The 14,916-nt window shown below is 47.2% G+C and overlaps 1 protein-coding gene across 6 annotated transcripts in view; it reads right to left on the minus strand.

The window, feature by feature from the left end:
- Positions 1-14,916, minus strand: part of EXD3 (exonuclease 3'-5' domain containing 3) — a 116,267-nt gene that overhangs the window by 25,527 nt on the left and 75,824 nt on the right. The gene's annotated exons all lie outside the window — the stretch shown is intronic.

Consider the following 14,916-nt stretch of genomic DNA (forward strand, 5'->3'; position numbering starts at 1 on the left):
ACTAAAATACAAAAAATTACCGGGCATGGTAGTGGGCACCTGTAGTCCCAGCTACTTGGGAGGCTGAGGCAGGGGAATCCCTTCAACCTGGGAGGCGGAGGTTCCAGTGAGCCGAGATTGTTAAAGGGTACATGGTATTGGCCAGGCGCAGTGGCTCACGCCTGTAATCCCAGCACTTTGGGAGGCCAAGGCGGGCAGATCACAAGGTCAGGAGATCGAGACCATCCTGGCTAAAACAGTGAAACCCCGTCTCTACTAAAAAGCACAAAAAAACTAGCCATGCATGGTGGCGGGCGCCTGTAGTCCCAGCTACTTGGGAGGCTGAGGCAGGGGAATCCCTTGAACCCAGGAGGCGGAGATTCCAGTGAGCCAAGGTTGCGCCACTGCACTCCAGCCTGGCGACAGACTGAGACTCTGTCTGTCAAAAAACAAAAAACAAATCTGGAGGCATCACATTACCCAACTTCAAATTATACTTGTGAGGGTTTATATTGAGTGTCAACTGGATTGAAGGATGCAAAGTATTGATCCTGGATGTGTCTGTGGGGGTGTTGCCAAAGGGGATTCACATTTGAGTCCATGGACGGGGAGAGGCAGACCCACCCTCAGTGGGCACCGTCTAATCAGCTGCCAGTACGGCTAGAATAAAGCACGCAGGAGAAGATGGAAGAGCAGACTTGCTGAGGCTTCCGGCCCCATCTTTCTCCCGTGCTGGATGCTTCCTGTCCTCGAACATCAGACTCCAAGTTCCTCAGCTTTTGGACTCTTACACGTACACCAGCGGTTTGCCAGGGGCTCTCGGGCCTTTGGCGGCAGACTGAAGGCTGCACTGCCAGCTTCCCTGCTTTTGAGGTTTTGGGACTCAGACGGATCCACCACTGGCTTCCTGGCTCCTTAACTTGCAGACGGCCTGGGTGAGACTTCACCTTGTGATCCTGTGAGTCAACTCTCCTTAATAAACTTCCTTTCGTATGCACATCTATCCTATCAGTTCTGTCCCTCTAGAGAACCCTGGCTGACACTATACTACAAGGCTCTGTGGTATAATTTGAATGTGTCCCCGCCCAAATCTCATCCTGAAATGCAAGCCACGGTGTTGGAGGTGGGGCCTGGCCTGGAGGGAGGCCACTCGATCATGGGGGAGGATTTCTCAGGAGTGGCTTAGCACTGTCCCCCTTGGTCCTGTCCTTGCCTGGTCGTTTAAAAGTGCGTAGCGCGTCCCCTCTTGCTCTCTCGCTCCTGCCTTCACCATGTGACATGCAAACTCTTGCTTTGCCTTCTGCCAGGACTAGACATTTCCAGAGGCTCCCAGAAGCAGATGCCAGTGATACGGTTCCTGTACAGCCTCCAGAACCATAAGCCAGTTGAACCTCTTTTCTTATAAGTTACCCAGTCCCAGGTATTTCTTTTTTTCTTTTCTTTTCTTTTTTTTTGAGACAGAGTCTCACTCTGTCACCCAGGCTGGAGTACAGTGCAGTGACGTCATCTCCGCTCACTGCAACCTCCGCCTCCCAGGTTCAAGTGATTCTCCTGCCTCAGCCTCCCGAGTAGCTGAGACTACAGGCGCCCACCACCAAGCCCAGCAAATTTTTTTTTTTGAGATGGAGTCTCGCTCTGTCACCAGGCTGGAGTGCAGTGGCGTGATCTCGGCTCACTGCAATCTCTACCTCCTGGGTTCAAACGATTCCCCTGCCTCAGCCTCCCGAGTAGCTGGGACTACAGGCACCCGCCACCACACCCGGCTAATTTTTTGTATTTTAGTGGAGACGGGGTTTCACCATGTTGGCCGGGCTGGTCTCGAACGCCCGACCTCAGGTAATCCGCCCACCTCTGCCTCTCAAAGTCCTGGGATTACAGGCGTGAGCCACTGCACCTGGCCTCAGGTATTCCTTTATAGCAATGTGAGAAGGGACTAATACAGTATAGTTACCAAAACAGCATAGTACTGGTATAAAAGTAGATACATAGACCAATGGGATGGAATAGAGAATCCAGAAATAAAGCCAAATACTTACAATCAACGGATCTTTGACAAAGTATAAATAAACATCCGTTGGAGAAAAAGACACCCTATCTAGTAAGTGGTGCTGGGAAAACTGGCTAGCCACATGTAGGAGAATGAAACTGGATCCATACCTCTCACCATATACAAAACCCAGCTCAAGATGGATGAAAGACTTAGATGTAAGACTCGAACCATAAACATTCTAGAAGGAAATCTAGGAAAGCTCTTCTGCACATTGGCTTAAGCAAACAGTTTTGACTAGAACCACAAAAGCAAATGCAACAAAAACAAAAATAAATAAATGTGACCTAATTCAACTAAAAAGCTTCTGCACAGCAAAAGAAATAATCATCAGAGAAAACACCAGCCCACAAGGCCGGTGGCTCACGCCTGTAATGCCAGCACTTTGGGAGGCCGAGGCGGGCGGATCACGAGGTCAGGAGATCGAGACCATCCTGGCTAACACAGTGAAACCCCATCTCTACTAAAAATACAAAAAATGAGCCGGGCATGGTGGCAGGCGCCTGTAGTCCCAGCTACTCGGGAGGCTGAGGCAGGAGAATCACTTGAATCTGGGAGGTAGAGGTTGCAGTGAGCAGAGATTGCACCACTGCACTCCAGCCTGGGTGACAGAGCGAGACTCTGTCTCAAAAGGAAAAAAAAAAACAAACAAAATAAAAACAAATAGCCCACAGAATGGAAGAAAATATTTGCAAACTATGCATCTAACGAAGAGGTAATATCAAGAATCTACAAGGAACTCAAACAAATCCGCAAGAAAAAAACAAAGAATCCCATCAAAAAATGGGCAAATGACACATGCATAGACATTTCTCAAAAGAAGATATACAGATACGCAGCAAACGTGAAAAATCGCTCAACCTCACGAATCATCAGGGAAATGCAAATTAAAACCACAATGAGATACCACCTTGCCCTAGCCAGAATAGACATTATTAAAATGTAAAAAAGACCAGGCGTGGTGGCTCATACCTATAATCCCAGCACTTTGGGAGGCCAAGGCGGGCGGATCACGAGGTCAGGAGTTCGAGACCAGCCTGCCCAACAAGGTGAAACCCGGTCTCTGCTAAAAATACAAAAAATTAGCCAGGTGTGGTGGCAGGTGCCTGTAGTCCTAGCTACTCAGGAGGCTGAGGCAGAAGAATCACTTGAACCCGGGAGGCGGAGGTTGCAGTGAGCCAAGATCGCGCCATTGCACTCCAGCCTGGCAACAGAGCTAGACTTCATCTCAAAATAAATAAATAAATAAATAAATTAGTACAACATCTGTGAAAACAGCATGGAGATTTCTCAAAGAACTAAAAGCAGATCTACCGTGTGCTCCAGCAGTCCCACTACTGAGTATCTACCCAAAGGAAAAGAAGTCATTATATCAGAAAGACACCTGCGCACATGTTTATCACAGCACAATTCACAACTGCAAAGACATGGAACTAACCTAAGTATCCATCAAGCAATGAGTGGATTAAAAAAATGTGGTATATATATACCATGGAATACTACTCAGCCGTAAAAAAGAACAAAATAATGTCTCTGCAGCAACTTGAATGGATCTGGAGGCCATTATTCTAAATAAAGTAACTCAGGAATGGAAAACCAAATACTGCATGTTCTCACTTATAAGTGGGAACTAACCTATGGGTACACAAAGGCATGCAGAGTGATATAATGGACACTGGAGGCTCAGAGGTGGGGAGGGCAGGAGGAGGAGTAAGGGATAAAAAGACGACATATTGGGTACAATATATACCATTTGGGTGACAGTGCAGTAACGTATCAGACTTCATCATTACACAATTCATCCATGTAACCAAATGCCACTTGTACCCCAAAAGCTATTGAAATATATGAAACATAAATCGATGTAAGATCCCTGACTTAACTGTAACTTTAGATATCGTTAACTCAAATATACGTGTTAACATTTCTCGGCCATGTGTGGTGGCTCACGCCTGTAATCCCAGCACTTCGGCAGGCTGAAGCAGGTGGATTACTTGAGGTCAGGAGATCGACACCAGCCTGGCCAACATGGCGAAACCTCATATCTACTAAAAATACAAACATTAGCTGGGTGTGGTGCTGGGTGCCTGTAGTCTCAGCTCCTCAGAAGGCTGAGGCAGAGCTGCTTGAACCTGGGAGGCGGAGCTTGCAGTGAGCCGAGATTGTGCCACTGCACTCCAGCCTGGGTGACAAAGTGAGACTCCGTCTAAAAAAAAAAAAAAAAAAAATTCTAGGGCAATCCCTACAAAGAAAAGAAATAAATCCATGGCAAAATATGCATATTTTAAGAAAACAAGGAAAGCAATAGCAATAGAATTTATAGCTTTCAAATTGACTGAAGGAAAAATAGAATGAAGGTAAAAAAGCTAAAAGCATGAAAAAAAAGAGGAAAAAGAATAGAAAAAGTTGTACAAATAGAAAGCACAAATTAAGATAGTACGACTAAACCCAAATTCTATCAATACTTAACAATAAACATAAAAGGACTAAACTAATAAGTTAAAAGGCAAAGACTGTCAGACTAGATTTTTTTAAAAAACCCAACTAGAAACAGTTTACAAGAAACACACCTACTATATAAAAGAAGGTTGAAAGTAAAAGGATGAAAAAGTGCTTTACGAGTAATAACCAAAGAATAATGGAGAAATGGTATTAATGTTAGTTAAAATATATTTTATAGCAAAGAGCATTACTGGAGTCAAAGAGGTTCACCACATAATTATAAAAGATTTCACACAACAGAAAGATATAAGAATTCTAATAATAATATGCATATGCACCTACTAACATAACTTTAAAACATATAAGGCAAACACTGACGTAACTGCATGGAAAATCTGATGAATGTACCATCACAGGAACCTTCTGTATGTCTCTCTTGGTAGAATCAGGCAGAAAAGTAAATAGGATAAAGATGATTTAGGCTGGGTGCGGTGGCTCACACCTATAATCCCAGCAGTTTGGGAGGCCAAGGCGGGCGGATCACAAGGTCAGGAGTTCCAGACCAGCCTGGCCAATATGGTGAAACCCTATCTCTACTAAAAATACAAAAATTAGCCGGGTGTGGTGGCGGACACCTGTAATCCCAGCTACTTGGGAGGCTGAGGCAGGAGAATTGCTTGAACCCGGGAGGCGGAGCTTGCAGTGAGCCGAGATTTCGCCACTGCACTCCAGCCTGGGCGACAGAGCGAGATTTCTTCTCAAAAAAAAAGATGTTTTGAACGACACATTTGGCAAGCTGGATCTACTGAGTGTGTGCATATGTTGGGGGGTAGGTGGAGTGGGAGGGAGAGAGGGGGAGAGAGATGAGCATGACTGGAAGGGAATACCATGTATCTTTTTTTTGTTTTGTTTTTTGAGATGGAGTCTTGCTCTGTTGCCCAGGCTGGAGTGCAGTGACGCAATCTTGGCTCACTGCAAGCTCCACCTCCCGGGTTCATGCCATTCTCCTGCCTCAGCCTCCCGAGTAGCTGGGACTACAGGCGCCCACCACCATGCCCAGCTAATTTTTTGAATTTTTAGTACAGACAGGGTTTCACTGTGTTAGCCAGGATGGTCTCGATCTCCTGACCTCGTGATCTGCCCGCCTCGGCCTCCCAAAGTGCTGGGATTACAGGCGTGAGCCACTGTGCCCAGCCAATACCATGTATCCTTTTACAGTCCATGTGGATCATTTATAAAAAGGACCATCTACTTGGCTACAAAGCAAATCTTAAGAAATTTCCAAAATTGGAAATATACAGACTATTTTCCTGAAGTTAGGTTAGAAATCATTTTTAAGAAGATAACTAAAAAGCCCCAAGATCCAAGCTTTCTAAAATTGAAAAACCTTCTAAAGAACGAAGTCAAATAAGCAATCATAATTGATATTCAAACGTTGTTAGAACTAAAAACAATGAAAACACTGTATATCAAAACTGATATAGCGCAGTGAAAACAATACTTTGAGAAAAATTTATGGCCTTAAACACTTATATCATAAAATATAAGAGTCTGAAAATTAAAGAGCTAAGCAACGCCACTTGGAAACAAACCCAAGAAAGCAAAAGGAAGGAAATTATAAAGATAAGAACAGAAATTGATGAGATAGACAACAAAAATGCAATAGAAAGACTTAACAAAGCCAAATACTGGTTATTTTAAAAGGCAGTAAGTTGGCCGGGCGCAGTGGCTCACGCCTGTAATCCCAGCACTTTGGGAGGCTGAGGAGGGCAGATCACGAGGTCAGGAGATCGAGACCATCCTGGCTAACATGGTGAAACCCCGTCTCTACTAAAAATACAAAAAAAAAAAAAAAAGCTGGGAGTGGTGGCGGGCGCCTGTAGTCCCAGCTACTCGGGAGGCTGAGGCAGGAGAATGGCGTGAACCCGGGAGGCGGAGCTTGTAGTGAGCCAAGATCGCGCCACTGCACTCCAGCCTGGGCAACAGAGCGAGACTCCATCTCAAAAAAAAAAAAAAAAAGGGCAGTAAGTTGACACATCTCTGCGAGAGCATGAGAAGAGTGAGAGCAAAAGGAAGCCACAATAAAAGAGAGGGAACCCAGCTGCAGACACAGCAGAGCCTTAAGAGCGGACACCGACAATCTATAACAATCTATACTTACATATTTGAAATGTCGGATTAAATGGACACATTCCAGAAAAATTATAAATTACCAAATGTGATCAAGAAGACACAGCCAGCCAAGTGGTTCTATAACTATTAATAAAACTCAGTATCAGAACATTCTCCCCAAAGAAAACATCAGGCCAGGAAGCCTCACAGGAAGTGAGCCAGTTTCAGGAGCAGATAATTTAAACATTACTCAGTTGCAGAAAAAAGAGGGAAAACTTCCCAATGTATTTATGAGGCCAGAAAAAAAGAGAAAGGAAAATTATATGTCAGATGTACCCAGAAAGATGGATGCAAACTTCCTAACAAAAATCACAGACCAGGCCGGGTGAGGTGCCACATGCCTGTAGTCCCAGCCATAGTCTCACTGAGGTGGGAGGATCACTTGAGCCCAGGAGTCTGAGGCCAGCCTGGGTAACACAGCAAGACGCCACTTCAAAAAAAAAAAAAAAAAAAAAATCACAGACCAAAGTCCGCAATGTATTAAGAAGGGTAATATGCGGGACCAAGTTGAATTTAACCCAGGAAAGAAAAATTAGTCCCAAATTCAAAGAGCTAATAATGTCATTCATCACATTTACAGATTAAAGGAAAAATAACCTTATGAGTATCTGAAAAGCTGCCAGGAAAGCATTAGGTAGGTCGAATTCAATGTTCATTCATAACAAAAACCTACAGCAAATGTGGAATCATGGAACTGCCTCAGCCTGGTACAGAATATTGAGCAACCACCTTACTTCATGTTAAAACATTCCTTTCTAAATCAGAAACAAGACAAGGATGGCTACCATCAGCATTTCTATTCGACACTGTCTTGGAGATCTTGACTAATGAAATAAGATAAAGAAGGAAAAGATATAAGGATTGGAAAGGAAGAAATAAAACCCTCATAGTTTGCAGATGACGTGTACGAACAGAACCCCAAATAATGGACAACCAATTCAGTAAGAGCCAGGGGCATTTAGCAAGTTTTCTGGACAGAAGACTAATTCATCAAGAGCAACCACAGTCCATGTATCAGCAGAAAATAAAACCCACACGATTTATAAAAGCAACAAAAATCTAAAGTTCCTGGGATGAAATCTAAGAAAAGACATGCAAGATCTTTATGGAAGTTATTAAATGTGTTTGAAAGAGGCGGGGCGTGGTGGCTCACGCCTGTAATCTCAGCACTCTGGGAGGCTGAGGCGGGCGGATCATGAGGTCAAGGAGTTCAAGGTCAGCCTGGCCAACATGATGAAACCTCATCTCTACCAAACATACAAAAATTAGCTGGGTGTGGCGGTGCGTGCCTGTAATCCCAGCTACTCAGGAGGCTGAGGCAGAAGAATCACTTGAATCCGGGAGGCAGAGGTTGCAGTGAGCCGAGATCACATCACTGCACTCCAGCCTGGGCAACACAGTGAGACTCCATCTCAAAAGAAAAAAAAAAGAAAGAGTTAAATATTCATGAATAGAAGACTCAATATCTTTTTTTCTTTTTTTTAATGAGGTCTTGCTGTGTTGCCCAGGCTGGAGTGCAGTGGCATGATCATGGCTCACTGTGTAGCCTCGACCTCATGGGTTCAAGTGATCATCCCACCTCGGTCCCCCAGGTGGCCAGGACCACAGGTGTGCACCACCATGCCTGGCTATTTTTTTTAAGAAATAATGTCTCGCTATGTTACCAGGCTGGTCTCAAACTCCTGGGCTCAAGCAATTCTCCCGCCCTGGCCTCCCAAAGGGCTGAGATTATAGGTGAGGCCACTGCACCTGGCCTCAATGTCTTAAATATGTCATTTTTCCCTAAATTGATTTATAGAGTCAATGCAGTTCCAAGCAACACTGAATTGGTGAGTTGTTTCTAAACCTATATAGAAAGGACAAAGGACTGAAGGAGAAGAACAAGGTAGATGCTCACCCTACCAGATATGAAGATGGGTGATAACGTTAGAGGGATTAAGACATCGTGGCATCACGTAAAACTCAAGGCCAAGCTGGGCAGGGTGGCTCACACCTGTAATCCCAGCACTTTGGGAGGCTGAAGCAGGAGGGTCGCTCGAGGCCAGGAGTTCAAGACCAGCCTGGACAACATAGCGAGATCCTGTCTCCATGAAACATTTTAAACATTAGCTGGGTGTGGTGGCCTGTGCCTGTGTTCCTGGCTACTCAGGAGGCTGAGTTGGGAGGCTCACTTGAGCCTACGATGTTGAGGCTGCAGTCAGCTGTGATCACACCACTACACTCTAGCCAGACAGAATGAGACCCTGTCTCAAAAAAAGAAAGCAAAAGACTGGACCAGGCATGTGTTAAGGGTCCCCAAGATCATCCTGAGGTGATTCAGTGTTACAGGACTCAGCACACAGTCACACTCTGGCTAAGACTCATTACAGTGAATAATACACAGCAATGTCAGCAAAGGGAAAAGGCACATGGGGCCTCAGGCACCCAGGAAACGGGGCTCAGGCACCAGGAGCCGTCTCCCAGGAGTCAGAGGAAACGGGGCTCAGGCACCAGGAGCCATCTCCCAGGAGTCAGAGGAAACGGGGCTCAGGCACCAGGAGCCGTCTCCCAGGAGTCAGAGGAAACGGGGCTCAGGCACCAGGAGCCGTCTCCCAGGGGAGTCAGAGGAAACGGGGCTCAGGCACCAGGAGCCGTCTCCCAGGAGTCAGAGGAAACGGGGCTCAGGCACCAGGAGCCGTCTCCCAGGAGTCAGAGGAAACGGGGCTCAGGCACCAGGAGCCGTCTCCCAGGGGAGTCAGAGGAAACAGGGCTCAGGCACCAGGAGCCGTCTCCCAGGAGCCGTCTCCCAGGGGAGTCAGAGGAAACAGGGCTCAGGCACCAGGAGCCGTCTCCCAGGGGAGTCAGAGGAAACAGGGCTCAGGCACCAGGAGCCGTCTCCCAGGAGTCAGAGGAAACGGGGCTCAGGCACCAGGAGCCGTCTCCCAGGAGTCAGAGGAAACGGGGCTCAGGCACCAGGAGCCGTCTCCCAGGAGTCAGAGGAAACGGGGCTCAGGCACCAGGAGCCGTCTCCCAGGGGAGTCAGAGGAAACGGGGCTCAGGCACCAGGAGCCGTCTCCCAGGAGTCAGAGGAAACGGGGCTCAGGCATCAGGAGCCGTCTCCCAGGAGTCAGAGGAAACGGGGCTCAGGCACCAGGAGCCGTCTCCCAGGAGTCAGAGGAAACGGGGCTCAGGCACCAGGAGCCGTCTCCCAGGAGTCAGAGGAAACGGGGCTCAGGCACCAGGAGCCGTCTCCCAGGGGAGTCAGAGGAAACAGGGCTCAGGCACCAGGAGCCGTCTCCCAGGGGAGTCAGAGGAAACAGGGCTCAGGCACCAGGAGCCGTCTCCCAGGAGTCAGAGGAAACAGGGCTCAGGCACCAGGAGCCGTCTCCCAGGGGAGTCCTGTAGGATGTGCTTAACTTCTGCATAAGTTGTAATGACATTTGTGAAGTGTTGTCTATCTGAGAAGTTCATTAGGGACTCATTGCCTGAGGTTTTTACTGGGGGGTGGTCACATTGATACCCGCTGCCTGGCATATACCAAAATTCCAGAGCCCTAGGAGGAAAGTGATGTCCAGCATACACCACATTGTTTGTAAAGATTAGGAACCGCAAACCACCTTCGTCATTAGGGAAGGTTTATATCAGTCAGGGAACTGTTTCCCAGCCGAGTTCCCAGCCTTGCAGCCAGGCCTTTCTTAGGGCAGCAGTGGCAGCCACGAGATGTTCCACAGAACATAAAGTGCAAATAGCTAGGGAACATATGGAAAGATGCTCAACTTCATCAAGAATCACAGAAACGGCCAGGCACGGTGGCTCATGCCTGTAATCCCAGCACTTTGGGAGGCCGAGGCAGGTGGATTACAAGGTCGGGAGATCGAGACCATCCCGGCCAACATGGTGAAACCCCGTCTCTACTAAAAATATAAAAATTAGCCGGGCGTGGTGGTGGGTGCCTGTAATCCCAGCTACTGGGGAGCCTGAGGCAGGAGAATCGCTTGAACCCGGGAGGCGGAGGTTGCAGTGAGCTGAGATCGCACCACTGCACTCCCGCCTGGGCGACAGAGTAAGACTCTGTTTCAAACAAACAAACAAAAAAAGAATCAGAGAAAAGCAAGTTCAAAGACAATGAAATGTAATTTTACATGGATAGGACTGGCCAAGTGGACAAAGTTTAATAACATCAGTTGTGAATTTAATTTCTGTTGTAATTCAGCTGCTCACAGGATTAAACTCTAGGCATGGTGTTCAGCAATTTTACTTCTGCAGCTACAGGGAATAAGGGCTTCTTCTGGGCCAAGATAGAAGCTTGCAGGTCCTTCGTGTGGAGCTGAGCTCATCTTTTTCTTTCCCACCTTCTCCAGCACAGTTAGGAGCAACCAGCCCATCCCATTATATCCATTAGTTTGACTGCAGTGCTTGGAAGTAGCAAATACTTGTTATGTCAGAATCTGTGCTTCTATAGGTTCCCAATTAAGGGTATCCCATGGCAATATTTTGAATAATTTTGCAACATCTCACCATGGACTACTGTATCTTTTTTTTTTTTTTTTTTTTTTTTTTTTTTTGAGACGGAGTCTCGCTCTGTTACCCAGGCTGGAGTGCAGTGGCGTGATCTCGGCTCACTGCAAGCTCTGCCTCCCGGGTTCATGCCATTCTCCTGCCTCAGCCTCCCGAGTAGCTGGGAATACAGACGCCCGCCACCATGCCCGGCTACTTTTTTGTATTTTTAGTAGAGATGGGGTTTCCCCGTGTTAGCCAGGGTGGTCTTGATCTCCTAACCTCGTGATCCGCCTGCCTCGGCCTCCCAAAGTGCTGGGATTACAGGTATGAGCCACCGCGCCCGGCCTTTTTTTTTTTTTTTTTTTTTTGAGACAGAGTCTCACTTTGTCTCCCAGGCTGGAGTGCAGTGGCACGATCTCGGCTCACTGCAATCTCCACCCCCTGGGTTCACGCCATTCTCCTGCCTCAGTCTCCCAAGTAGCTGGGACTACAGGTGCCCGCCACCACACCTGGCTAATTTTTTATATTTTTAGTAGAGACGGGGTTTCACCGTGTTAGCCAGGATGGTCTCGATCTTCTGACCTGGTGATCCGCCCACCTCGGCCTCTGAAAGTGCTGGGATTACAGGTGTGAGCCACTGCGCCCGGCCTGTATCCTCTTTACTACTGGAAACTAGGCCCTTAGTGTCTCTAAATCTAATAATGTAGAGAACCAATTCCAGAAGTCCCAGAACCAGTGCAGACAACTCATCTGTAAGACTTTCCTCTGCAACAACTTCCGGCACCAAAATTGGTCAGTTGGGCCGATCTAGAGAAGCAAACCAGTGGGAGATAAATATTAAGAGATTTACTATCAAGAACTGGCTTCCATGCTTGCAGTGGCTGACGAGACATGTCTGGGAAGATTGTGAGTGGCGTGGAACTTCGCTGGCACGTTTCCTGTCCACTTCAGCATCTGCGGAGGCGGCCAAGGGCTGATACCCCTGCGCTTTCTGGAAGCCTCGGGTTTGCTTTCGAAGACTGTTTCTGACCTCACTCCTGCACAGATACACACTCAGCTTTTCAGGTTACACTTTTGGGAATGATCACTTATTCTTAGCATCTTTTGCCATCTGGACAGGATGAGAGTTTCCCAAATCATCAAGTCCTAGTTCCTTTCTGTTTAAGAGCGCTCCCCTCAGTCCCTCCTGCTCACATTCTATCATAAGCAGCAGGAACAGGCCAGGCTGCACCTTCCACTGTCTGGAGATCTCCTCAGCTGAATGTCCAGGTCTTCTGCTCACATTTCACCATAAGCAGCAGAAACAGGCCAGGCTGCACCTTCCACTGTCTGGAGATCTCCTCAGCTGAATATCCAGGTCTTCAGCTCACATTTCACCATAAGCAGCAGAAACAGGCCAGGCTGTACCTTCCACTGTCTGGAGATCTCCTCAGCTGAATGTCCAGGTCTTCTGCTCACATTTCACCATAAGCAGCAGAAACAGGCCAGGCTGCACCTTCCACTGTCTGGAGATCCCCTCAGCAGAACACCCAGGTTCACCTGACAAAGTCAGCTTCTCTCTGACAGCAGGACACAGCCCCATGGCGTTTCCCGCCACTACCTGGATGTGACAGGCACTTTGCCTCCCTCCACTTTGTCAGGACATTCTCCTCACATCCTCTGGGCTCTCGCCCGGAATGCTTTCTTTCCTTTTCCTTTTTAAAAAATGTTTGTAAATTTATTAGTAATGCTCCTTTTGAAAGGTATGGAAAATGAAACTCAAGGTATAATCCTTATATGAAACAATTAACTCATTTCTCCAGGAGTCTTAGTAGAAAACACATGATTTGGAAAGATCCTGCCGGGTGTGGTGGCTCACGCCTGTAATCTCAGCACTTCGGGAGGCCGAGGTGGGCAGATCACCTGAGGTCAGGAATTCGAGACCAGCCTGACCAACATGGAGAAACCCTGTCTGTACTAAAAATACAAAAATTAGTTGGGTGTAGTGGCGAGCACCTGTGATCCCAGGTACTCAGGAGGCTTAGACAGGAGAATCGCTTGAACCCGGGAGGCGGAGGTTGCAGTGGGCCCAGGTAGCACCACTGCACTCCAGCCTGGGCAACAGAGTGAGGCTTTGTCTCAAAAAAAAAAAAAAGGAAAGAAAAGAAAAGAAAAAGATAGCAAAAGCTCCATAGAAGCCAAAAGGATACCAAAGCTTCCCTTCTTCAAAAATGTTCTCTCCAGAAAATGCATGAATCTATGTCTGCCTCTGTGAGATCACTGCACCTGTGAGTAAGGTGGTCACAAATGTGAACACCTGTCTAGAACATCCTAGACCGACATAAACAGACAATCCTTGAAGCTGCAGAAAACAAATGAGGGTGAAAATAAAGCTGTACTATTTGTAGAGCAAGTCCTAAAAATACAGAATTCACTAAGAGCTTGGAACAGAAGACCTAGGAGATAAAAACCAGGGAAAAGTAATTAGAAAAATACTTCACTCCTTGATCGAGACCATCCTGGCTAACATGGTGAAATTTTTAGCCGTCTGTACTAAAAATACAAAAAATTAGCCAGGAATGGTGGCAGGAGCCTGTAGTTCCAGCTACTCGGGAGGCTGAGGCAGGAGAATGGCATGAACCTGGGAGGCGGAGCTTGCAGTGAGCCGAGATCGCACCACTGCACTCCGGGCTGGGAGACAGAGCAAGACTCCGTCTCAAAAAAAAAAAAAAAAAAAAAAAAAAAAATTCACTCCTTACTGAAGGAAAAAAAGAGGGAATAAATGTTATTAAAAAACTATATGGGTAAGATTACCCATAACTAGTATTTAAACAAATCGAGGGTTCAGGATGGATTCCGCCCTCTCCATGAAGAATAAATACCAACTAACCCCACTTCTTACACCCCTGAAGGAGAAAACTGGTCCATTTGGCTTTGATCTGACACCCTCACACTCTTGCCGTTTAGGTCGAACCATCTCGGCTCCATCTGTTTCAGCTGCATTGACCAGCATCCCACTTCTATTTCCGAACCTTCGACACTTTTAATGTCCGTATTTCCACAGATGGTCAGTTTCAGCTGCATTTACCAGCATCCCACCTCTATTTCTGAACCTTCGACACTTTTAATGTCCGTATTTCCACAGACGGTCGGTTTCAAGGCCCTCTAGGCTTTTCATGTTGTGATCCTCAGGACTCTCCCACCCTCCACTCATCCCCTGATTCTAAAACTACTTCCGCATGTTTAGCTGTGTGTTACACCAGCACCCCACTCCTGGTACCACAATCCACATTCTTTTTTTCTATTGTTTTGAGACGGAGTCTTGCTCTGTCACCCAGGCTGGAGTGCAGTGGTGCGATCTCCACTCACTGCTGCCACCTCTGCCTCCCGGGTTCAAGCAATTCTCTGCCTCAGCCTCCCGAGTAGCTGGGATTACAGGCGCCCGCCACCACGCCCAGCTAATTTTTGTATTTTTAGGAGAGACAGGGTTTCACCATCTTGGCCAGGCTGGTCTTGAACCCCTGACCTTGTGATCCACCCGCCTCGGCCTCCCAGAGTGCAGGGATTACAGGCGTGAGCACCCAGCCTCCATGTCATTTTTCTAATGCTGCTGTCACAATTTACTAAAAGCTTAGCAGCTTACAACATAGTTCTGTGGAAGTCCAGAAGTCCGGTGGACTCAACCAGGTTCTCTGCTCAGGGTCTCATGGCTGAAATCACAGTGTTCGCGACGGCAGGCTCCTCTTAGGAGACTCCGGGGAAGAACCTGCTTCTGGGCTTGGTCAGGTGTTGGCAGAATCTGGCTGCTTGTGGCTGTT

The sequence above is a fragment of the Homo sapiens genome, chromosome 9, assembly GCF_000001405.40.
Source record: "Homo sapiens chromosome 9, GRCh38.p14 Primary Assembly".
Lineage (NCBI taxonomy): Eukaryota > Metazoa > Chordata > Mammalia > Primates > Hominidae > Homo > Homo sapiens.